This window comes from Homo sapiens, chromosome 10 (assembly GCF_000001405.40).
Source record: "Homo sapiens chromosome 10, GRCh38.p14 Primary Assembly".
Lineage (NCBI taxonomy): Eukaryota > Metazoa > Chordata > Mammalia > Primates > Hominidae > Homo > Homo sapiens.
In genome coordinates, this window is record NC_000010.11 from 9,246,527 (window position 1) to 9,272,413 (window position 25,887).

Sequence of the window (25,887 nt, forward strand, 5' to 3'; positions counted from 1 at the left end):
TTCCTTCTTAAAGCCCTCCAAAAGTATTGCAGCCTAGCCAACACCTTGATGTTAGCCCAATAAGATGCCTGTTGGACGGCTGAGGTCCAGAACAGTAAGATTATAAATTTGTCTTAAGTCACTAAATTTGCAGCCATATGATATGGTGGTGATAGAGAATTAATGTGGATGGGATTAACAGCCGATTAGATGCCACAGAAGAAAATATTTGTGAACCTGAAGACATGGCAATAGAAACTACTCAAAACACAGAGAAAATATACTAAAATACACAACCTCAGAAAATTGTGTGACAACTTCAAGTGATTGAATGCACATGTATTCAGAGTCTCTGAAACAGAGGAGAGATAATGTGAACATAAAAATACATTTGAAAAACTAATGACCAAATATTCTAAAAGGTTAATGAAGAGTATAAACTCAAAGATACAAGAAGCTCAATGAACCTCAAAGACAGGAAGCATAAGAAAATTAGATTGAAGGGCATCATGAAAAATTACAATCAGTGATGAAAAGAAAAGTTTTTTGATGAAAACAAGTAAGAGATGGAATTATATATTTCAGTATTTTAAGAAAAAAATGTAAAGCTAGAATTATATGTCCATTGAAATGCTTTTCAAACACAAAGTTTGAATATTTTTTCAGACATATAAGAATTGAAAAATCTATTACTAGATGACCCACACTACAAACCTCAATCTGCACAAAGGAATTACGTTCACTGAAAATGCTAAATATGTAAATAAGTTTAATACTTTTCCCTATTTTTAATCCATTTAATATATAATTGAGTGCTTAAAACAAAAATAGATACATGTGAGATACATGACATATGTAGGAATCAAATGAATTACAATTTCATAAGCACTAGGAAGGAACAAATATAGTTTACCCTTATAAGGTTACTATATATAAAAGGTGGTATAATATTCTTAAAGTCAAATTGGCAATAAACTAAGGCTGTATACTGTAATGACTAAAAAATGCTACAAAAGGCTATAGCTGATAAGCCAATAAAGGAGATAAAATGAAATCATAATCGATTAATCCAAAAAAAAGAAAAGAATAGAGGGAAAAAAGAATAAATGAGGCAAGTAGAAAACAAATAGCAAGATTAGAGCCAACGTGATTAATAAACATTAAATATATTTAGTTCATTTATAATATTATATTTATTTACTAATATCATTTATAATGATATTTATTTATGTATTTACTAAGCGTATTATAATAGCATGAAAGAGATGCTCTAATTTCCAAATAATTTTAAATAATTTGAATTTACCATGTTAGCCATAATAGATCATTCATCAATTAAATCATTCTCATCATATTAATGGAAGGTGTAATCATTTCCACTCTTCAGAGTTATATGATGAAGAGTTAATGATTTTACAAATATGCAAGATGAAATGATGAAAGGAAGATAGAGACAACCTTTCAATTTTATAACAAATTGAATGAAATCAATCATTCATATTAAATTAAATACATATATATTTAAGCACACTTACATGTCCAACTGCCGACCTGACATCTCAACTTATATATCTCACCATTGCCTGAAACTTCATATCTCTAAAATGGAATCAAAATCCTCTCTCAACATTTACTTATCTTCCTTGTTTCTTTGTATTTCAAATTATTCCTAATAGTGTATCTTATAATATTTTGTGCCTGCAAAAGCCTTACCAGTTATTAACCAGAAAGTGAGTTAAGCATGTTCTGAAAATAACAAAAAATTGGGTCAAACTGTTCATCGAGAGTACCAAGTTTATTGATCACTTAGTACTTTTCTTTGTTTATAATCTTACTAAACTATGGTAACCACAGTTACCACAGTTATCATGGTTTGGGGATATAAACCAAAAATGCCACATAGCTTCAGCAGGTCACATTCCATAAATTATAACCTCTTCATTTAGAGCTACAATAACTTTTCAAGACATAGATGGTAAAATAAGATATAAAGAGAATCAATAAAAAAGTTAAAAAGCAGCGGACAATGTTAAAGTATAGAGGTTTTATTATTTATTATTTTTCCTTTTGCATGTTTCTTTGTTTATGCAGTGTTAAGTTGTCTTCAGTTTAAAATAATGGGTTATAAGGTAGTATTGGCACACCTCATGGTAGCCTCCAATGAAAAAATATACAATGAATACACAAAACATAAAAAGCAAGAAACTAAATCATATAACCAGAAAAAAAAATCACCTTCACTGAAAGGAAGATGGGAAGGAAGGAAGGAAAGAAGGAAGAAAAGACCACAAACAACCAGAAAACAAATAACAAAATGGCAGGAGGAAGTCCTTGTTTATCAATAACATTGATAACAACATTGAAGGTAAATGGACTAAATTATCCAATCAAAAGACATTGACTGGCTGAATGGATAAAAATAGGAAGACCCATTAATCTGTTGCCTACAAAAAACACACTTTACCTATAAAAATTAACATAGACTAAAAATAAAGGGATGGAAAAACATATTCTATGCCAATGGAAACCAAAAAAGAATAGAGTTAGCTATATTTATATTAGACGAAATAGATTTCAAGACAAAAACTGTAAGAAGAGATTAAGAAGTTCATCATATAGTGATAAAGGGATCAATGAAGGAAGAAGATACAAGGATTATAAGTATATATGCACCCAACACTGGAGCATCAAGATATATAAAGCAAATATTGTTAGAGTTAAAGAGAGAGACAGACTCCAATACAATAATAGCTGAAGACTTCAATACCCCATTTTCTATGTTCAACAGATTTCCTAAATAGAAAATCAACAAAGAAACATCAGACTTAAACTGCACTACAGAACAAAGCAACCTAATAGATATTCACAGAACATTTCATCCAACAACTGCAGAATACACAATTTTCTCCTCAGTACATGGATGACTTCCAAGGACAGAGTATATGTTAGATCACAAATATTCAAAAAATTTAAATAATATCAAGCATCTTCCCAGACCACAAAGGAATAAAACTAAAAGTCAAAACAAGATAAATTTTGGAAAGCATAGAAACACGTAAAAATTAAACAATATGCTCCTGAATAAATTAAGAAGGAAACTGAAAATTTTCTTAAAGCAAATGAAAATGGAAACATAATATACAAAAATCTATGGGATACAGGAAAAGCAGTAATAAGAGACAAATTTATAGCTATAAGTGCCTACATTAATAAACAAGAAAAACTTCAAATAAATAAATAATGATGCATCTTCAATAACTAGAAAAGCAAGGGCAAATCAAACCAAAAAATACTAGAAGAAAAGAAAAAAATAAAGATTAGGGCAGAAATAAATGAACTTGAAATTAAGAAAAACAATACAAGAGATCAATTAAACAAAAGTTGGTTTTTCATAATGACAAAACAAAAATCACAAATTTTTAGCCAGGCTAACTAAGAAAAAAAGAAAGAAGATCCAAATAAACAAAATCAGGGATGAAAAAGGAGACATTGCAACTGATCCTGCAGAAATTCAAAGGATCCTTAGTGACCACTATGAATGACTATATTTCAGTAAGTTGGAAAATATAGAAGAAATTAATAGTTCCTAGACACATACAATCTACCAAGGTTGAACCACGAAGAAATGCAAAATCTGAACAGACTAATAACAAATAATAAGACTGATGTATAATAAAATGTCTTCCATTAAAGAAAAGCCCAGGACTTAATGGTTTCATTGCTGAATTCTGCCAAACATTTAAAGAAGAACTAATAACTCTCCTACTCAAACTGTTCTGAAAAGTAGAGAAACAGGGACTACTTCCAAACCCATTCTACAAAACCAGTATTACCCTGATACCCAAACCACTTAAAGATGCATGAAGAAACAGAAAACCACAGGCCAATATCACTGATAAGTGTTGATGCAAAAATCCTCAACAAAATACCAGCAAACCGAATTCAACAATATATTTAAAAGATCAGAAATAGAAAAACCAATCCTAAAATTTATATGAAATCACAAAAGATCCAGAATAACCAAAACCATCCTGAGCAAAAAGAATGAAACTGGAGGAATCATATTACCTAACTTCAAATTGTACTGCAGAGTGATAGTGATCAAAACAGTGTGGTACTGGCATTTAAAAAGACACATAAACCAATGGAATGGAATAGAGAATCCAGAAACAAATCCACCCACCTACAGTGACATCATTTTTGACAAATGTGCCAAGAACATAATTTGGGGAAAAGACAGTCTCTTCAATAAACAGTGCTGGGAAAACTGGGTGTCCATATGCAGAAGAATGAAACTTGACCCTTATCTTTCACCTTATACAAAAATCAAAATGGACTATAGACTTAAATCTAAGATTTCAAACTACAAAACGACTATAAGAAAAGACTGGGGAAACTCTCCAGGACATTGGTCTAGGCAAAAATTTATTGAGTCATACGCCACAAGCATAGGCAACTAACAAATGCTGATGGGGATGCGAAGAAAAGGGAACTCTTGTATACTGTTGATAAGAATATAAATTAGTACAACCACTCTGGAAAACAGTTTGGAGGTTGCTCAAACAACTAAAAATGGAGCTACCATCCAACCCAGCAATCCCATTGCTGGGTATGTATCCAAAAGAAAGGAAATCAGTATATCAAAGAGATATCTGCACTCCCACACTTGTTGCAGCACTGTTCACAATAGCCAAGATTTGGAAGCCACTTAAGTGTTCATCAACAGATGAATGGATAAAGAAAATGCAGTACTATAACTCTGTTATTGTTCCTCCGCTGTCCAGAAATCTACAATGGCTCTCTACATGTTAGAATAAAACCTGTAATCTTTGGCTTGGATTTCAAGTCCTCTATGTTTTCCCACTTTCCTCACCTCATCTTCCTTTTTACAGCCTTATCTCACTCGTCTAGTGACATCTCACATCCAGATAGTGAACTACTCTGTCCTTCAACACGTTTCCATCTTTCAACCTCTGCCTTTGCAAAAAAATATAGTCATTATCCTACCTTGTTTGTCTCCATGAACTCTTTTACATCTTTTAACATAGTGGCCTTCAAATGGTTTTTATTTTGTTTTACTGAGACTCACTGTAAGAAATATATTTTACATTGTAACCCAACACACATACACAGAAATTAAAAAAAAACAGAATTTTCATTAAAGCACATCCTTGCCCCCCAAAAAATGCAGTACTTATACACAATTGGGGTACTATCCAGCTATAAAAGAGAATGAGGTCCTGCCGTTTACAACAACATGGATGGAATTGGGGGACATTATGTTAAGTGAAATAAGCCAGGCATGGAAAGACAAATATCACATGTTCTCACTTATTTGTAGAATCTAAAAATCAAAAGAATTGAATACATGAAGATAGGGAGTGGAATGATGGTTATCAGAGGCTGGGAATGATAGTGATGGGTTGGGGGCAGACAGACGTAAATGGTTAATAAGTACAAAAAAAATTGTTAGAAAGAATGAATAAGGCCGGGCGCTGTGGCTCACGCCTGTAATCCCAGCACTTTGGGAGGCCGAGGCGGGAGGATCACGAGGTCAGGAGGTCTAGACCAGCCTGACCAACACGGTGAAACCCTGTCTCTACTAAAAACACAAAAATTAGCCAGGCATGGTAGCGGGCGCCTATAATCCCAGCTACTCAGGAGGCTGAGGCAGGAGAATCGCTTAAACCCGGGAGGCAGATGTTGCAGTGAGCCGAGATCGCGCTGCTGCACTCCAGCCTGGGCGACAGAGCAAGGCTCCGTCTCAAAAAAAAAAAAAAAAAAAAAAAAAAAGAATGAATGAGACCCGGTACTTGCGAGCCAAACAGTGGGACTTTAGTTAATAATAATTTAATTGTACATTTAAAAATAACTAAAATAGTGTAATTGGATTGTTTGTAACACAAAGGATAAATGCTTACGGGGATGAGGGGGAAAAAAAGAAAATACACTACTTAAATTAACAAATCTACTATGGACTTTGAAGTTTTGCAACACCTAATTAGTTTATAAACATAAAAGGCAGATCAATGTTATAATTCCTGCTAGTTTACATCTTCAATTTTATTATAATTTAATTATTAATGAAGACTATTTGCAACACTTATCTTATTTGATCTATCTCAACATAGGTCTAACAAATGCATGGCAATTTAATGTTCAATACAAAAATAAATGAATTTAGAATAAATCCCACTATAATTTTAGGTTTAAAAATATGTTGCAAAATACACTATAGGGAGAAAAAGCATGGGAACAAAGATTACCAGACCTCTCTGAAAATTAATCATCATGTAAAATTTGTCATTGGAACACTTACACGGAAAAAAATAGATGAAGGTTTGTCCCTTTTCACCCACAAAGCCAATTCTGTGCCTTCTTGCTTCTTTCTCACCAAAGAATAATGTCTTTTTGTACTTACCACAGTGGTCCCTTTTGGCAAATGAATATTTTTATTATACTAGCATTTGGAACTTTAACAAAGAAAGACAGATAGAGATATCCACCCACAACATTAAGGTTTTGCTTTTCTCATTCATTTACATCAAAAAAAGAGTTACAATATTTAACCAAAGTTAATACTCAGAAATGTTTAGATTGGACACTACTGCCACATTAAAAAATTCATATTAAGTCAAGCTCTATTTTTTCTTAATGTATATAGCACATTGGAAGTTTATCACAACAAAATCATTACAAAACTTTACCATCTTTATCTATGCTTCTAACTGAAGCTACATCAAACAAATACAATCTCCCCAGCCCTCTACATGCACATTTCCTTCTCTGTTTTAATATGGAATCTGATGCTGGATTTTTGCCAGAAAGGCTTATGAGAGAGATAAACATTTACCCTTAGTCATAATACCTATTATAACTCTATGGTAGAAATTTAGAGCAGAGTTTAGATGCAAAAAAATATACTTTTTTTTCTAGTTTTTAAAGCCTACATTTCCCCCCCAATTTGAAAACCAGCTTTTTAAATCTTTTAATCTTCTTCTGACCATTGGTCTTATAAAGGGGATCTCCAAAATTTACTGTTTCATAAGAAGCAAAATTGTTTGCAAAGCAGAATTTTTGGATAGAAAATTAATATCAACCTTCCAACATAAAATTTTTAAATCAAATACTAAGATATTAATTTGCATATTGTTTATCAGCATTTGTAGAAATGATACCGTAAATAAATTGATCAAAATATGGTGCTAAATTTAATGGTTGATGTTATAGAAAAAAATCTATGTGCATTTAATGATTGATATTTCCTATTGTCTATAGATTGGATGGCTCTCTGTCATTAACAAGTAGGTAAAACAGTTCAACTGGGTCTGTGTTTTAACTCACTAAACTAAATCTAATTCATGGCTGTGGTTTAGATAAAGTAACAGATTTCTTATAAAGAATACTCTTCAGAATTATTTTACAATTGTTCTTATCAATAATAAAATTTATTTCCACAGAATGAAAAGCCTTTGAAATGAATTATCTTTCACTGGGGAAGTCCCTACGTGAGATACAGGACACTAAGGACTCACAGGTAACTTCATAATGTGGAAGTTCATTTCTTTAAAAAGAAAGGACGAGAAAAACAAAGGCAGTCTTTACTCACAAACACATCAGATACCAGGCATAGAAATGATGTTGGAAACTTTTTACATTTAAAAAATACGTGCAAAGTTGAAATGTGGCACTACTAGAATATTTCTTTCAATTATTTCTCCTTTTAAAAAATACAGAATTTACACACCATAACAAGTTCCTACAGCTTCTGTTACCCCAGAAATAAGGGTCAGAGATTTTGTTTCATATGAGTGGATCCCATGTCAAGTGTTAATGCCTCAGATAGTAGGTCACATATGATATCTATAGCCATTAATTGAGGAGTTAAACCAGCCTATTTTGTATGTCAGATTTTCAATCCTGATTATCTAGCATTTACAAATTCAGATGTACTCTATTACACTGAAGCTATGAAATGCTTTTTCTTAACTTCCTAAAAAGGGTTAAAGGACACTCATCTAAGAAACAACTTACTCTCTATTTGTGATTATTCTCCTCTTAGTCACGATGATTCAAATGATTAATTCCACATGCTGTTTTCAGAAGTAAAAATAACTCTATGAATATAAAAAAAAAAGTCTATTATCAAATACTACTCTGATTTTGGTCCAGTGTGTTTATGTATCCTCGCCCCCAGTTAGCTTCTCTGTACAGTATTAATACTGTTGCCTAAATAGGACAGTACTATATTATTTTAATAGACTATTGCCCTCTCCCCTTTTTGGCATTTTTTTGAGAATAGTTTGGAAAAGACTATCATCTTGTGCTACAGGCTGTCGCTCCACAAAACATCACCAAAAGCACAAGAATTGACTAAGCAAGTATTTAAGTATTTAGCACCAAAGACATTACCTAGACATTTTGGGAAGGAGGATGCAGCAAAGACATTGGAGTGTTTCTTTTTCTTTTTCTTTCTTTCTTTTTTTTTTTTTTTTTTTTGAGATGTAGTCTTGCTCTGTTCCCCAGGCTGGAGTGCAGTGGCACGATCTCGGCTCACTGCAAACTCTGCTTCCCAGGTCACACCATTCTCCTGCCTCAGCCTCCCGAGTAGCTGGGACTACAGGCGCCCGCCAACACACCCGGCTAATTTCTTGTATTTTTAGTAGGGATGTGGTTTCACCCTGTTAGCCAGGATGGTCTCCATCTCCTGACCTCGTGATCCACCCTCCTTGGCCTCCCAAAGTGCTGGGATTGCAGGTGTGAGTCACTGCACCCAGCTGACATTGGAGCATTTCTTAGCTTTCCCCTGAGTTAATAATGAGTCAGTTGGGGAATATTGTACCAACTCGTGCTATTTCTTTGGGACATTTTCCATTCAGGAGAACTGTAAAGCAACAGAATAAAAATAGCAACTAAAATGATGGCCACAGGTGATTTAGATGGTGATAGAGGGTAATCCGAGTGGCCTAGACCTGAAAAATAGACATAGGTTTTAGGGAGCCTCTGGATTTTTTTTTTCTTTTCTTTTTTTCCTTTTTCGCACAATTGTATTTGTGTATCAGAAAGACTGCTCTGGAAGGAATATGAAGAATTAGCTAAAGGAGGAGAGAGTTTATTGTGTAGGCATGATAAGACACGTGTCTGACCTCAAGCAGCAGAGTGGGCTAGAGAAGAATATTATATTGACAAGTGAGATAGAGTTCATAGGATGTGATAATTGATTGGATATAAGAAGGCACGTGGAAAAATGGAGAATTCATATTGCATGACCTTCTCATTGGGGGAACTAGGTAAATGGTAGCAGCACTCACGCACACAAAAATAAGGAGATAACCCATCTAGCACAAGCATTTCCATCTTAAGGTTTCCTTTCACATTCAGTCATTCATTTAACTGGACCCCAAACATACTCCAATTGTCAATCAACTTGGTATTTGACTGGTTCTATCTGATTAACTGTCTTCATTTGATTAAGTTCTTGTCTCTCCAACATTTCGTCTTACAAAATAATTCTCGATTGTGACCTCTGCATTTCTCAGATATGTGGCTTTGCATCATTTTTTCTCATTTTCTTCACTTTTCCCCTTAATTAATTAAAATTTGATTACTATCTCCTGTTGTTATGTCTGCTTCCCTTGATAAACATTTCCCTCCATGTTGGACATAATGTTGCTAAGAGGGACCAACGCAGAGGAGAACAAGTTTTGTTTTGTATTAGCATGGGCATTTGAGACAATTTCAAACCCACATGGAGGCCCAGCACGGTGGCTCATGCCTGTAATCCCAGCTACTTGGGAGGCTGAGGCAGGAGAATCCCTTGAACCCTGGAGGCTGAGGTTGCAATGAGCCGAGATCACACCACTGAACTCCAGCCTGGGCAACAAGAGCGAAACTCCATCTAAAAAAAGAAAAAAAAATCACATGGAGTTGTGTCCTTCAATTCAATGATCATTAAACTAGCTCCCTCTTACATACAGTGCCCCGGGCTGAAACATGACACAATAATGAACACGACAGAGTCTCCTCTGATAGATCATGGTCTTTTTGAGGCTACAGCTACATAAACTGATCATTTCAATGTAACAGGTCCAGACTATGTAGTATTGGAAAATTGGTGGGGAGGAGAGAAGGCATTCTAGAGACAGCAGAGAGAAGAGATTGGATGACACTTCCAGGGAAGATGTCCCTACTTTGAGAGTTGCAAGATTACGTAGGAATTGGTCAGAGATGTGGCTAAAAGGAACATAAATTTAAGAGAGTTTGATTTAAGGATGAGAGATACTTACAGAGGTGTGGCACAGGAGGAAGCAGAGGAAATTGATGGAGTACGGTTGCAGAGGAGACAGAAGGAAAAGAAACACGAAAACAGATTAACTTGGTAGAGAAGTAAGAACACATTGTACCAAGATGAACAGAGTTCAGAATAAGTGGAGAAGCCAAAGCATGTATGTGGGGGGGGAGGCAGATTTTAGGAGAGTTTCCTTAATTATAGTTTTTATATTCTCTTTGAGATTGTTCATCCTCAATAATGGGGAGGGGTTTGGAGCATTTCTAACACAAGGGAAGATCGCTGGCTAAGAGGAAGAGGGGTAGATGGTTAGGTCCTTTGAGGAGGAGAGGTCTGGGTTGTCATCAGTGATAGGGAAAATGGCAGTTATCGAGGCAGGACATAAAACAAAACTGTTGAGCTCTAGCATGACCTTCCCCCAAACGCCATGCCTCATTGATTAGCGGTGGCACAAATTGGAAGGCTGAGTGATTTCCTTGAAAAAGGGTCAGCTGTTTAAAGGTGGGAATAGAAATCACAGATAGTTTGATTTACCCATAGTTAGAGGATTGCATAAAATATAAAAAGATAAGGAGAAAAGGAATCAAGCACTTAAAAATAAAGCGGGAATCGAGATATTGGAGCTATATACTAGGGACTTGATCATAAGAGCAAGGAAAAGTCCATTTTCTACTGTTTTTGCACAGAAACAAAATAGGTCTAGGAGGGTTAATTCATTGATTACTCCTCTAAGAAGCTAAATAATAACAACTAAAGTATCCTCTGGATGTTACAGGATAGCTCTTAGAAACTGTCAGAATTAAATATACAGGCAGAAATTGTCTCTTCAGTAATGTTTTAACTCTGAGGAAGCTGGAACCAGGGTAAGTCCTCTGACTTAGAGTTCAGAGAATTAATTACATCAGAAAACAAGCAAATAAAACAGAGATATGATAATAGAAATGCTTGTTATTTTGACTATTATTAAAGGTATTTGACTATTATTAATGTTATTTGTGAGCATCTCTTATCATTGCAATTAATTTCTGAAGGCAGATTTTTGCCTGATTCATTTTGGAAATGTAAATTGTACAAAAATGGCTCACAAAATAAATGTCTTATAAAAATGTTCAACAAACTATTCTTCAAATAAATAATTAATGACTCATTCATTTATTAAAGTAATAGGAGCCACGAAATATGTTCAATGAAATATTCCTGAATGTTGTTGATTATCCATCAAGACATTCTTGAACAAATACAGGCATAAATGAATGAAGAAATATTTGGCATATGCATCATTTATAAGCTATTCAGTTCTTCTAGAATTAGAACTACTTGTTATTTGTTTGCTTTCTTTTAAAACCAGATAATAAATTATATGTGTATTTTCCAAGTTTGATTATCATGACACTTTTGGATAAAAAATTATAATAAACATATTTTTACACGGAACACACATATATCAGGCAATTACTAAACTGGACATTGCCATTTCCCAAAGAAACAACAGTGCTATGCTTCTCTGAATACAGGTGTACTTAATAGGAACAGACTAGAGACCTTACTGATTTATAAAGAATAATTAACTTTGACATCTAAGCATTGGTTAGATTATGAAAGTTAATCTCTATTTTTTATGATTTAGAATGTAGTTATGTATGGTGGGTGGTACAGGTAGCTCCTCGCAAATAATATTCCAGGCTAGTTAGATAAATTTAGAGAATCAAAGGATGTAGATTAAAATGTGTATATTGACACAATTATCCTCACAGGATACTGCTGAGGGGAGAGGCACTTCTCCAGGAAGCCCTCTGGAAAGTTAATGGATCCAATCTTCTGGATTCTAATTCATTAGGTAAAAATATTTAGGACAAGGAGAGTAAAACGAAGGACTGAGTGCTTAGCATGAACTCTTTGCATTTTCTTTAATAGTATTGTACTCAGAACTTCAGGAAAAGCCTGCTTTCCCAGGATTGCATGGTTTAAACAGCTAATCACAATCCTTTTTAAAGTGTTATTTGATGATCTTTTAAAAAATTATTTACTTGACTTTACTTTTGTATTTTATACAGTTGACAATATTATGCTTCTCACCATTGTTAGATTCTGTAATACTGTGGGGTGGTGGGGGTGTGTGTGTTTACTGTGCCAAGCACAATATTGTCACTATGGATATATTTTATTACGTCCATTGATATTTTATTTATGTCATGGAGTTGTGATCTGTTATAATAGATCTGTGAAGCCACATCCCTGAAGAGAGAATCTGGGACCAAGAGAGAGGTCTGGTATACCAATTACATATCACACTATCTCTCTTATTTTATTGTATTGTATTTTAAATTCTGGGGTACATGTGCAGTATGTGCAGGTGTCTTTCATAGGTAAACGTGTGCCATGGTGACTTGCTGCACCTATCAACCCATCACCTATGTATTAAGCCCAGCATGCATTAGCTATTTTTCTGGATGTTCTACCTACCTTCACCCCCACCAACAGGCCCCAGTGTGTGTTGTTCTCCTCCCTTTGTCTATGTGTTCACATTGTTCAGTTCCCACTTATAAGTGAGAACACCATCTCTTTTTTACCCTACTTTCTCAATTCATGAACTTGTCTCCTTCATCATAAAAAAAAAAAACTAAAAGCAATATCACCTGAATTTTACCAATAACCCTCAATTCTGTCTCCATTTGCATGCTGTTTGTGGTGGTGTGCTCCCTCGATTAGTCTTTCTCTCTCCTGGATCACATGCTTCTTCTTTTCTCCTAAATTTTTCTCATTCCTAAGCCAAAAATACTCCACCTTGAAAACAAGGAAACGCCAATACCAAACTAAAATACTAAGCCTTCCTAGCTCCAAAGTCCCTTCAGGAAATTTTCTTTCTTCTTTTCTCTTCGGAGATGAACTTCTTGAACCCTTAATGCACGCTGGCTCCATGCATCTATCTTGCACACCCTGTTCTTTTACTTCAGCATGCAATGGCTGTCATAGCTCCACTGAAACTGTTCTCATAATGACTCCTAAATGTCTATGTGCAGTACGGACTTCTCTTCTGAATTTCAAATTCAATTATCTAATTGCTCACCTATCATCTAAATAATGTAGTATAAGGAGAGGTGGTATAAACGAAGTATTTAAAGATAAGGAGACAGAGTAAGCAAGTAAAATTATACCTTTGCCATTTCTTAGTTATGTGGATTTGATTGTTTTTACTTAATATTTTTGGGCTTCGGTTGTCTCATATATACAATGGAGATAGTAATAGTAGCAAAGTTATTGTCATAATAAAATATTTTAATTCAAAGTGATTAAAACTCTCACTGGCACACAGTGAAAAACATGATGAATATTAACTATTCTTTTTTTATTATCCATAGGCATGTCCAGTTAGCATGTCCAAAACCCAGTGCTTGATTTTTAGTCTTCGGATATTTGCAGCCACTCAATATCTCCCTCCTCTTAGTAAGTGGTTCATACCATCCACCCAGGAGGTCAATCTAAAATCTAGGCTTCCCCTTTATATTATCTTGTTCCCTCCTCTCCTCTATCTAAAGGTCATTCCAGGGTACTGTCTTATATCCCTACTTTTTCCTGCTCTGTCTTATATCCCTACTTCTTCCTGACACGTTTTCCAGCAAGCCATCATCTGTGGACTGGCCATTTAGCTTCCAAACCTATCTCATTCCAATTAATTCTCCCCATTGCATGAAGGGTAATTTTATGAGAATGTAAAATGCCTCCTCCTAGCTGAAAACCTAGAATGTGGTTCCATTGCACATAGGACAAAATCAATTCCCTAGCCAAGGACTATGAAATCAGTAGCTCCTGGCCTCAAGCTTCCACTATTCCAGGCCAGTTTTGCTCTCCATCACCATACCCTCATCAGCTGACTTTCAGGATGGCCTCCACCTGCACTGGCAGACTCCAAATTCCAAATGCCCCGGAGGTAACAACAGAAACACTTTCCCCAATGTCTGTACACACAGAGATGAGGCATCTGGAAATTCCTTGACAATGCTTCAGTCAGGACATTTTCTTCTTAGTTTTATGACCTGAGAGATCTGTCAGTGAAGTATGCCCCTGATGTCCCTTGGGTTTTTTAAACCTCTTAATATGATTATGAATTCTTATAGAACTCAGCAAGCATTTTGCCATGAACACTTTGGCCTTAAGACTTTAAATTTGTTTTTCTATGACCTCTTAACCCAAGCCATCTGTTTCATGTTTATTTGTCCAAAGTAAGATGATGCTTCTTCAATAATCACTTTATTTTCTCAGTTTTGCATCTTTCATCTCCTCTTTCTGCCCCATTAAAAATACATTATAAAAATGAAAAATTGATATTTTATTTATGTCCATTAAAAAAAATGTTGAATGCCAATGTCCATTGCATTTTCCTTCGGCACGATTGGCTTGAAATGTTTTGCTAATGTGTTGGATGTTATGGGCAACCCTCCTCACTTCATGCCCACATAGAACTTCTAATCCAAATCCCCTATATATGTAGGGTGTAAGGTTCACTTAATGGCTGGGTTTACATTGCTTCTCAATACTTTCCTTTGGGAATAGTATTTTTCTGAAACCACATCTCTAACCTTCACATTCCCAGTGAAAAATAACAGATGCCATGTGATATTCATGTCATTGGAGAAAGGGAGAGAGCACAAGGATAAATGCTCAAGGATATCGATTTAATTTTTCCAGCCATACTTGTTCCACCCCCTCCTTATCTCTGATAGAATGCTATTCTTCCAGTAATGCCTTAAAAGCTTTAAAAATTGCCACCCATTTAAACAGAACAATTCCAACTACAACCAGGACTAGTAGGTAGAAATGTCCTCTGTGTGTGGATGAAGTCCTTTTATAGAAAAAATGCTTGAAAATGGTTCTAGTATACCATAAATCAAAAGCTACACATGTGACTACAAATAAATATTCCTCGTGGATATTTTATTTGCCTTGACATTGCCTATCAGTTGCTTGTGCATACTTTCTTAGGATCTTGCATCAAGAAAATGTTATTTGGTGTGGCTATCCTTTACAACACCTTGTGAATTAATTTAGGCAACATGCAACATAACATGAAAGAAATTACATCTCATTAGAACTTCAGTCCATTTAGGACCATGAACAGGTACAAGATTCATAAACAAAATATTCTCCATACCCCAAACTTATTTTTAGGATACAGGTTCATGTCTAAAGCTAACTGTGTTGTAGCTAAATTGGTGATTTTATATTCAGGAATCTGATACGTTAAATAAATTGATTTTGGATTAGGACATGCATGTATGAAGACTAATTGACCATACATTGCTAGATTACCACAGAAACATGGCATCTGCTTGAAAAGTCATCAATTAAGAAAATTCAAGAAGTCTTAATGCTTTAATCTGTTCTATGGTCACTTTTCTTTTAAAGGGCTTATGTATATCAGTATTTAATTAAAGAACTAATTTGCTCACATAGAGACTTGACCATATTAGTTATATCCTCTCAAGCTAGAAACCATAGAGGAGTATTTTCCCCCTGCTGGATGGGTTTAGGTTTGGTTTAACTTCAGCATACAGTTCCACGCACAAATTCCTGCCTCTTATGAATTGACCAGCCTGGGAAACTTAACAAAATATTATTAACCTTTGCATAAAGTACTTTTTCTATATTTTTAACCTCCTAAATCATAACATCTCAAAATAGGAAGGAAACGGAAGTTCACAGAACAGCTTCAGGGAACAGAGCAGAATCACTGAAAAGAAAGAATACAGACTCACTAAGTTCAGATGGACACAGTGGAAGGCTTGGAGACCCTGGAATAGCAGCCCATATATTTCTAGACACCATTTTCCCCAATAGCTTGGCTGGGAGAAAGCTGTAGCCAGAAAAATAAGAGAAGATTATAAACTCTCTTCCTGAAATGAACTTGACTTCTGGGAGAAATAGCTAAAACTTTTCACAAAATTCAAAGGGGATTGTCTATAGGGGCACCCAAAGGGAGACCTTTGTGCTCACAGAGGACAAGCCTCTCTCTAGGAGTGATTTTGTATTATTGAAGAGAATGCTTTCTCTGCTTTTCACTCCCAGGCCCCTAATTTGTTATTCAAGATCCAGTATCTTGTTGATATGTGGGTTTGAGGTAAGTTTCCCAGAGCCTTGGTCACACAGCAGCATCGTATTACCACACCAGAGATAAGGATCATTCCAAGTCTGTGTGTCAGCTTCTATGGTTCTGTTATCTTTCTAACTATGGAAAGGTGTGTTAGAGCCACACAAATAACAGTCAATGAGAACAAAAGTCATAGTGTTAGGAATTTGCCAACTCTAAGGATTGCTCAAGTGGAATAAGCATGTTCAAGTGGAATATGCTTTGTATACAAAGCAAACAAGAATAGTCCTATTAAATATCTCTGTACAGCTTAATAAAAAGATGAAAAATGTAGGGTGATACATTTGGGGGAAAGGTATTAGAAGTTTTCAGAGTTTCACTTCATTTTCTAATAGAAGAATGAAGATTTTGAATTCCATTTTTATAAAGATCAGTTTTTGACCTAGGGCGAATGATATAAATCTTCATTGCTTTGGGACTTCTATTTCTCAATTAGACTTTATAAGGACTTAGACATTGAAATAATGACTTATGTTAAATCTTCAGCAAATGCATAGCAAATGTTGCATAAACTACTGTGTCCAATAGTATAGGGACTGGCTGTCAGAATTTATAAAGTAAGCTGTTAATAAGCCAATAATTTTCTTGTCTGATTGACATGTCCATCATAATTCAGTTATCTAAGGAAACAGACCACGTGGGATGCATAATCTCACTGACAAAGAGGAGGAGTTGGGGGCTAAGCATAGCACACAGGTTTCCCTTTGACTCTCTACTTGACCTTATATTTAATAGAAAGGGCTTTAAACCAACATAGTTGTGAAACATATTGCTGCTGCCTACCAACACGGAGATAAAGGAAGTTTATATGAATCAATGGATTGTTTTATCCTGATTAATATGATTATTAAAACATTATCAAATGGACATTCAGTAGTAATAGCAAACCCATGCAGCAATAGCTATTTCCTTTGGGCTTTCAGCAAGTATTTAATATTTAATATCCCTGCTGTAGTGCTTATCACAATTTATTATCACTATTTCATTGTGCATACTCTCTACCCAAGGAGAGGTCCTTGAGGTCAGGGACATATCCCTTTTGGTAGTCCTGTCATCTGACACAGTATCTAGTATGCAGTAATTGCTCATTTAACATTGAATGAAAGAAGAGCGAAAATAAGAACTACAGAGCAAGATTACTTGAGGTTTTTTGTTGTTGTTAACCCGAATATTAAATAATGCCAGATTTTTATTGAAGGGGAACAGAAATCTGTCTGTGCATCATTGATTTTCTAGTTTCGGTACTTATGTCAAAATACTAGGTGAAAAGTTGATTGCCAGAGTAAATTTTGTTTCGTGCAAGTTAGAAAGGAAATAACCATTCTGTAGAAAGCCTGCTTTATCAACATTTCTAAGCGAACTTGTAGGGCAAAGTGACCGGGTATATTTAGATAAATTTTTGGCAGGCATACCAACTATTGAAGGTTTACCCTGACTATCATTTCTTAATACTGTGTAGAAACATTGGATCTGGTATACTTATGATTCCCCAAATTTTAGCTACATCACTAGAGGAAGGTCGGAGTCAGTGGATCCCAAGTATGTGAGTACAATGTGCAGAAGCTTACAGAAAATATAAAATTATAGTTCAACCTTCAAAAATTATAGTTTTGAAGAGTCAGCAGTGGAACACAAAGCTAGCATTTGACTCAAAGTCCCAATTTCTTATCTTCATACTCAAGAAACTTAACGTTTTCACCAAGTCCCACTTACTGCATGCTATCTCGTCATTCTTTCCCTTATGAAGACTCACATTCTCAAGCCAAATTATTCTCTGTCCCCTTAAACTTCCACCCTTATGGTCGTTTCTGTTTTATCTGCTTGGTACTGTCTTCTTTAATATTTCTACATGGCCAACTTCTTCTATTCCTTTGTAAAATGTAAATTGGATGCTCCTATTTTGCTACTTGCCTCAGTATAAAAAATTTTGATGCCTTCTGAATACCCTAATTACTTGCACAGTGTTCAACAATGCACAGTTACTACCTATTTAATCCCCAGCACTTCTTCCTGTTCAGGTAGCAAACCCTTTGAGACAAGTAGTAGCTACTTTTAAATCATCTCATTGCCTCCCAAAGTGGGGTTTTTTAAAATGTGGTTGATGTAAGGAAATGTATATAAATATATATTTATATTAGTGTATATATAATAGAATATAAATATTTATGGAATGAATAAATATTTAAAAACTAAGATGGAATGTGAAAAGTATAGGAAATAGAACTGTAAGGTAACACAATAATTAGGATCCCAGATACAAATATATAATGGTTGCTGTATCTCAGTAACACAGAAAAGTTATGTAATGAAGATGACAATGAGTGAAGATCAGGAGAGGTTTGCTCATCTTACATCTGGGAATGAATAAGGGTGCCCCGAAAAGCTGTATGGAAAAGGTAAGTTTTCTGCTGGCTTTTAAAGCAGACAAGCATTGTTTATTATACTTATATGGAATACTTACCACCATCGGAGGTTATACAAACTTTTAAACTAATTGTATTAGGTAGATTTCAGATTATCAACAGCTTTACTATGCAAAGGACTAACTTGATTGGCAGATTTAATTTTTTAGAATAATCAGTTTTCCTGAAGACAGAATTCCTTCCTTGTTTCTGTTACTGTATTTAGTGACCAACTCCTGCTGAGAATTACAACCTTCTCATTACATATATTTCTATGAGTATGAGTTCATTCATTTAAGCAGTTTTGTGATAGTGAACTTTTTTACTATAATATGTTGAATGCTTATGGATCTAAAATAAACCAAATTTTAGAGATCTAACCAAAGTTATTTTTAGAAAAGAAAAATATTATAAATGTAAAATAGTTGCATTGTATTTTTATAGCTATGCTTTCTGCCAAATCACTAAGATATATTAATTTTTTAAAAGGGAAGTGTGGTTATAACAAACAAGAAATGCCAGCAACTTAAAAATAACTTTTTTAGTAACAGAAAACCCAGGTCTCTTTAACCAACATTATAGGGGTTAGAAAAGGAATGCCAGTTATGCACTAAGGTTTACATATTTTCAAATGTAGCAGTAAAGATGAATGCTATTAATAATTATATGTTATCTTGTGCCATCAGAAAGAAAATAAATGTCTTATAAAAACCATGCTAAAAACACATACAAATTTTATGCTATTTTCACAATGCTCAATTGTATCTTTTTTTTTTTTTAGTGAAGCCTTAAGACTGCATATTTAAAGTAATGAAGTTTGGTAATTTATCTAAATAACTTAGTTCTTAATCATCCAGAAAGTAATGGTAAAATATTTAATATATTTATGTGAAGTGGCTAGGCAATTTTAAGTCTATAAATCTAATGCTATACAGATGTTACTATATCTATTCTATTAAATATAAATCTATTTATATGCAACAAAAAATAAGTTTAACATTGACCATTACATAGAAAACACCATTATATAATAAATAGGCAGCCAGGATACTTCATGTATAAAAATCCATGAAATTTGTTAAGCTATTGGATATTTTTTCTCACACTAATCAGATACTTATTTAAGTAGCTTATTTTGTGTAATTTTTTTAAGAATGGTCCTCTGAGTCCAGTGTGAAGTCAGGTTCATTTGACAATATAATAATTGGATTTGCTTATTATGTTCCTGGTCATTCCTGCCACAGTAGACTCCTTTGTACAAGCAACATTAATCATTTAAAAAAGCTGAAAGTTAGAAAGTTAATTAAAGGATTTATTACAGACTCTTAATTTGTCCTAATGAATTGAACCACCATGAAACTTTATTAATTGCAGTTGAGGAGTAACACCTGGATATTTTTCCTCATGCCTTTGGTCTAATAAAATCTGTTATCTCTGATTAAATATGTCAGTTTCTTTGAATTATGAAAGAAGGAAAATGGGATTTTATTCATACAGAAGGTGGAGAAAAGTGGGACAAGGAGCTCAGCAGGTGATATTTCAGCTTTAATTCTAAGTCACAAGACCATGAAGAATGATGTGAACTTGAGAAGCATACACCTTAACTCACCCTGTATAGAAATACATGGTATTTGTGCCAAATTAAAATCCATATGGTTATTTTTTTAAAAATCTTCCATATTATCTACATGTAGGGGATAATTTTCCTTAAATTTCAAATTTGATATATTGAATGACCACATATGCTTTGAAAAAATGAAACCAAGAAAAGGAAACTCTTTACATCATGAAGAGATATAAAAATTATTTGCCTCAATTAGATTTAGTAGGACAATGAAATGTGAGAGCCTGGGGAACATTGCATGGTCCTGAATTTGCTGTATATAGTTTATATGATAAAATGAAAAGTAGACTCTGATGTTTCTGGGGTGAATTCAGAGCTCTGAAGTTTAACGAGTATTTAGAATAAAAATCGCATTCTTTCAAACAGAGAGAGTAAAGGAGTGGATTGAAGCATGGGGCCATTAACTCAGCCTTTACTTCTCAGAGCCTGGGAGAGTCTGATGATATGTATTCAGACATCCGTGTAAGAACACGTGAGGTGGTGAAGCAACACAACAGGCATACATCAGACTCTGACGCACAATCATATTGAGACCTGGGCATATTAAAAATGTGTAGAAGTCATTATTCACCTTTCTGTATTGTGCCTACTCAAATATCTACCCATCCATCTATCCACGTATCCAACAAGTGTCTCTACTACAACCACGGGCCATGAAGAAAGAGGCCTCTGAAATTCTGGAATATCAGATATCAGGCTAAGTCTCCTATTTGCAGGGTGACTTCCTAGACCTGTGGGAAAATACACACACACACACACACACACACACACACACACACACACACACACACACACACACACATATATATAGACAGAGTCTCGCTCTGTTGTTCAGGCTGGAGTGCAGTGGTCCGATCTCGGCTCACTGCAAACTCCGCCCCGCCTCCCCCACCCCCGCCCCCGCCCCAGTTCAAGCCATTCTCCTGCCTCAGCCTCCTGAGTAGCTGGGATTACAGGAGCGCGCCACCATGCCTGGCTAATTTTTTGTATTTTAGTAGAGACGGGGTTTCACCATGATGGTCAGGCTGGTCTCAAAAACACCTGACCTCGTGATCCACCTGCCTCAGCCTCCCAAAGTGCTGGGATTACAGGCGTAAGCCACCACACCCAGCCGGGAAAATATATTTTCAATACAAGGTGGGAATTGCAAAGAATACTAACTTCTGGGATATAGCCTAAGTGAGCAGAGGGATTATTTTGAGTTGGAAATAAGTAGGAAACTGTTTAATGGTTGGAGAAGAGGGATGCTTTTTATTGAGTGAAATGTATCCATTGGGTGCTTTATTGGCAGTAAAACATGAGTAATAATTCTTACCAGCAATATGGTCATTAGTGTTAAAAGAGATCGTGTGTGCAGACTAGGTAGGACTAGCCAACACGATGCCAGAAGAAGTAGGGAGTCAGACGAGAATGGACTAATGCCCAGGGTGGGTTATGTAATCCCCTGACTCCCTGCTGCTGCATCCTCTGCAACCCTTTACTTGCTCCCAACCTCGTCACAATGCTGTTTTGCATAGAGCTATTGCAAAACGTGATTATTAAATTCTTTATTCAGGTACATAAGTTTCAATACATAGTGATTAAACATCTACTCTATGCTTGTTGGGAACATGTATATCTTCTTTTGAAAAGTGTCTGTTTATGTCCTTTGTCCTCTTTTTAATGGGGATGTATTTCTTTCGTAAATTTAAGTTCCCTATAGATGCTGGATGTTAGACCTTTTTCAGACACATTGTTTACAAATATTTTCTCCCATTCTGTAGGTTTTCTGTTTACTCTGTTGATAGTTTATTTCGGCATGCAGAAGCTCTTAAGTTGAATTAGATCCCATTTGTCAATTTTTGCTTTTGTTGCGATTACTTTTGGTGTCTTTATCATAAAATCTACCACAAAGACAAATGCACATGAATGTTCATTGCAGCACTGTTCACCATAGCAAAGACATGGAATCAATCTAATGCTCATCAAGAATAGATTGGATAAAGAAAATATGGTACACATACACCATGGAATACTATGCAGACATAACAAGGAATGAGATCATGTCCTTTGCAGGGACATGGATGGAGGTGGGAGCCATTATCTTCAGCAAACAAACACGGGAACAGAAAACCAAATACCACATGTTCTCACTTATAAGTGGGAGCTAAATGATGAGAACACATGAACACAAAGAAGGGAACAACAGACACTGAGGACTACTCGAAGGTGGAGGGTGGGAGGAGGGAGAGGAGCAGAAAAAAATAACTATTGGGTACTAGGCTTAGTACGTGGGTGATGAAATAATCTGTACAACAAACCCCTATGACATGCATTTACCTTTGTAACAAACCTGCACATGTACCCTCTGAAACTAAAATAAATGTTAAAAAATAAAAAGTAAAAATAAATAAACACTGACTGTATTTTAAGCTGTAGGAACACTAAGACGAATGAATGAGACATTGTTTCTACCCTCCCCAAATGACAGACTCGGAACTTATTCTGTAGATGTGCAGCCTGGGGTGAGAATGTGGATGAGGGATGAACAAAGAGGGCACAGAAGCTAGGGGAGGCAGTTGTGGAGCACAGTATTATATTCTATGATATTCCATGTATATACAGGTGAAACTGATATCTCTAGGTGGCTGTTGACTGAAATGCAAAGTTTAACAAACTCTACATGCAATATATTCTCTTTTTTTCTAAAAGAACTCACTTATTTAGGAGCACAGTTTCTTCTCAGGTAGATGGGTGGAGCTCTTTTTGCGTCCTTACAACTCTCAGAAAAGAAAATTCTCAAGCCACCCTAATCATTAGGCTTTGCTTATGAATGAAAAAAAATGAGATGATAAATAAATGAATTATCTAACTGACAAAAGCCTTTTAGCCATTTCAGATATTCATTTAGAATTACCTGATATGAGACTTCAACAGCCATTTTTGGTGCCAGCGTTATATATTACACACAAACACACACACACAAATCATACACACACCCCCACACACCCACACATCATATATACATACATAAGTGAACTGCCTCTCTACGTGTATATGCATGTACATACACATATGTGTGCTTGTGAATGGTTATATATATGAAACCAGAAATTAGAAAAGTGATTCCTCTAAAATCTAATTAAGGACAATCCATGGGGTTCAATTGTAAAGCCCTGGAGAAAAAAAAAAGAGAGAGAGAGAAGAAATGTAAGCAATTTCACTTGATCTTGACCTTGAGTGTAATTATTTCTTATGATATGTGAACACGTGAGTACAAATTATTTTACAGATCAAGCAAGAGGAGAAAAGAATAAGAGTTATGGACTAACCTGAGGAAATATATGGTGTGTAGATGGAGCAGGGAAAATATGAGGACATCAATTGAGTAGGAAAATGCCAACATCGATGGGGATTGGGCAGGATGAAGTGTGTTGCAGGATCGCAGCCACTAATCAAGGATACAGTCCCTGGTGACTTGCTTTTCTTCCCTGTCGAATTTCTGCAAGAAGAGGAAGTTTCAATAACTCAAATCCATACAGCTCATCACTGCTTCCTTTCAGACAGGAAATAATCTGGGTAAAAAGGATCCTGAAACACTGGCCTCCTCGATGCTTGCAGAGAATCACTGGCCTCTCCTATTCTGTGATTTGGATGTGACTAGGAGTAATAAAATGGATTTAGTGTGCAAATGCCTCCATCAGCTTCTCCCTTTTTCCCATAGGAGTATTATCAAAAGTTCTTAAATTCTTTTAAATATATAATAAAAATTGTTTTTGTAAATCAGCATAGGTCTTTACTATTCTGGTGCAGGTTTTCCTTCTCATATTCTCAACTCCTGCTTACCCTTAGAGATAAGGAAGACTACTTTGACACTGAATTCTTTTTTCATTGGTTTTATATATTAAATTTGTCTCTTCAAATAGATTATAAGCAGCTTGAAGCTCAGAATCATTTCCTAAGTTTGGCAACCGATTACTGAACATTCTCAGCTTCTCATGTCTTGTACTTGGCATTACGGCAGAGGCTCCTCAAATAAATAAGATGCTGCTGTAGTTCTCATAATGCCTACCTATATTGATTCTCTTTTGCTAGTTATTTTACAAATGTATTAGAAAAAATTATTTGGTTAATTGCTAGCCCACCTATATTGTGGATCAGTAGTCAGTATTTGATGAATCTTAATAAAACATATTTTAAAGAAACTACCCAGATAAGCGATAATAATAAACTGGGTGTCCTTATCTCTTGAGATATTATAAATAAGTCTTCACTGTTTGATTTCCTTTGACACCAACTAAGAGTTCCTGATTCTGAGCAAATGAATAATTATTTCTATATTTTGTATGAAGCCTTGCCCTTCTTACAGCAGTATTTTCTCCCTAAATTAAATGATGAGTTTTGCAGGTGTCTTTTATTTTTTCTAGAAAGGATATAAATTCTAATATGATGTATACATTCATCAGAAACAAAATTATTGTTTGTAGATACCATATTTTCTTTAGGCACTCCTCCATCAATGAACTTTTAAGTTACTTCAGTGTCTTGGCTATTGTGAATAATGCTGTGATGACTGTGGGAGTGCAGATATCATTTTAATATTCTGCTTTCAATTCCTTTGGAGATTATATGTATATACATATATATCCAGAAGTGAGTTCGCTGAATCATAGGGTGGTTGTTTTTCAGTTTTTGAGGACCCTCTATAATGTTTTCTATAGCAGCTGCACCACTTTCCCACCAATGATGTACAAGAGTCCACTTTTCTCTAAATCCTTGTCAACACTTGCTGTCTTTTGTTATTGTTTGTTTTTCATAATAGCCATTATAATGGGTATGAGGTGATACCTCATTGTGGTTTTGGTTTGCATTCCCTGGATGATTAGTGATGTTGACGATCTCTTCGTATACCTGTTGGCCATTTGTATGTTTGGAGAAATATCTATTGAAGTCCTTTTCGCATTTCTTAATTGGGCTATTTGGTTTTTTGCCGTTCAGTTGTAGGAGCTCCTTATGTATTTTAAATATTAATTACTTATTAAATATAAGGTTTGTAAATATTTTCTCTCATTCCATAGTTTGTTTCTTCATTCTGCTGATTGTTTCCTTTGCTGTGCAGAAGCTTTTTAGTTTGATGGAGTCTCATGTGTGTATGTTTGCTTTTGTCAACTATGCTTGCTTTTGTCAACTATGCTTTTGGGGTCGCATGCAAGAAATCATTGCCAACATCAGTGTCAAAAAACTTTTTTCTATGTTTTCTTCTTAATATTTTCATTTCAGGTTTCAAGTTTTAGTCTTCAATTGATTTTGAGTTGATTTGTGTGTATAGTGTGAGATAAGGATCCAATTTCATTCTTTTGCATGTGAATATTCAGTTTTTCAATACCGTTCACTGAAGACATTGCTTTCCCCATTGATATTCTTGGTGTCCTTGTTGAAGACGAGTTGAGCATATACGTATGGTTTTATT

At 35.1% G+C, this 25,887-nt stretch overlaps 1 long non-coding RNA gene across 1 annotated transcript in view; it reads right to left on the reverse strand.

Annotated features, from left to right (window-relative positions):
* Positions 1-25,887, reverse strand: part of LOC101928272 (uncharacterized) — a 98,228-nt gene that overhangs the window by 49,161 nt on the left and 23,180 nt on the right. The window contains exon 4 of the long non-coding RNA NR_120635.1: positions 23,750-23,919. This is a non-coding gene — a long non-coding RNA (uncharacterized LOC101928272). The remainder of the gene's footprint in view (positions 1-23,749; positions 23,920-25,887) is intronic.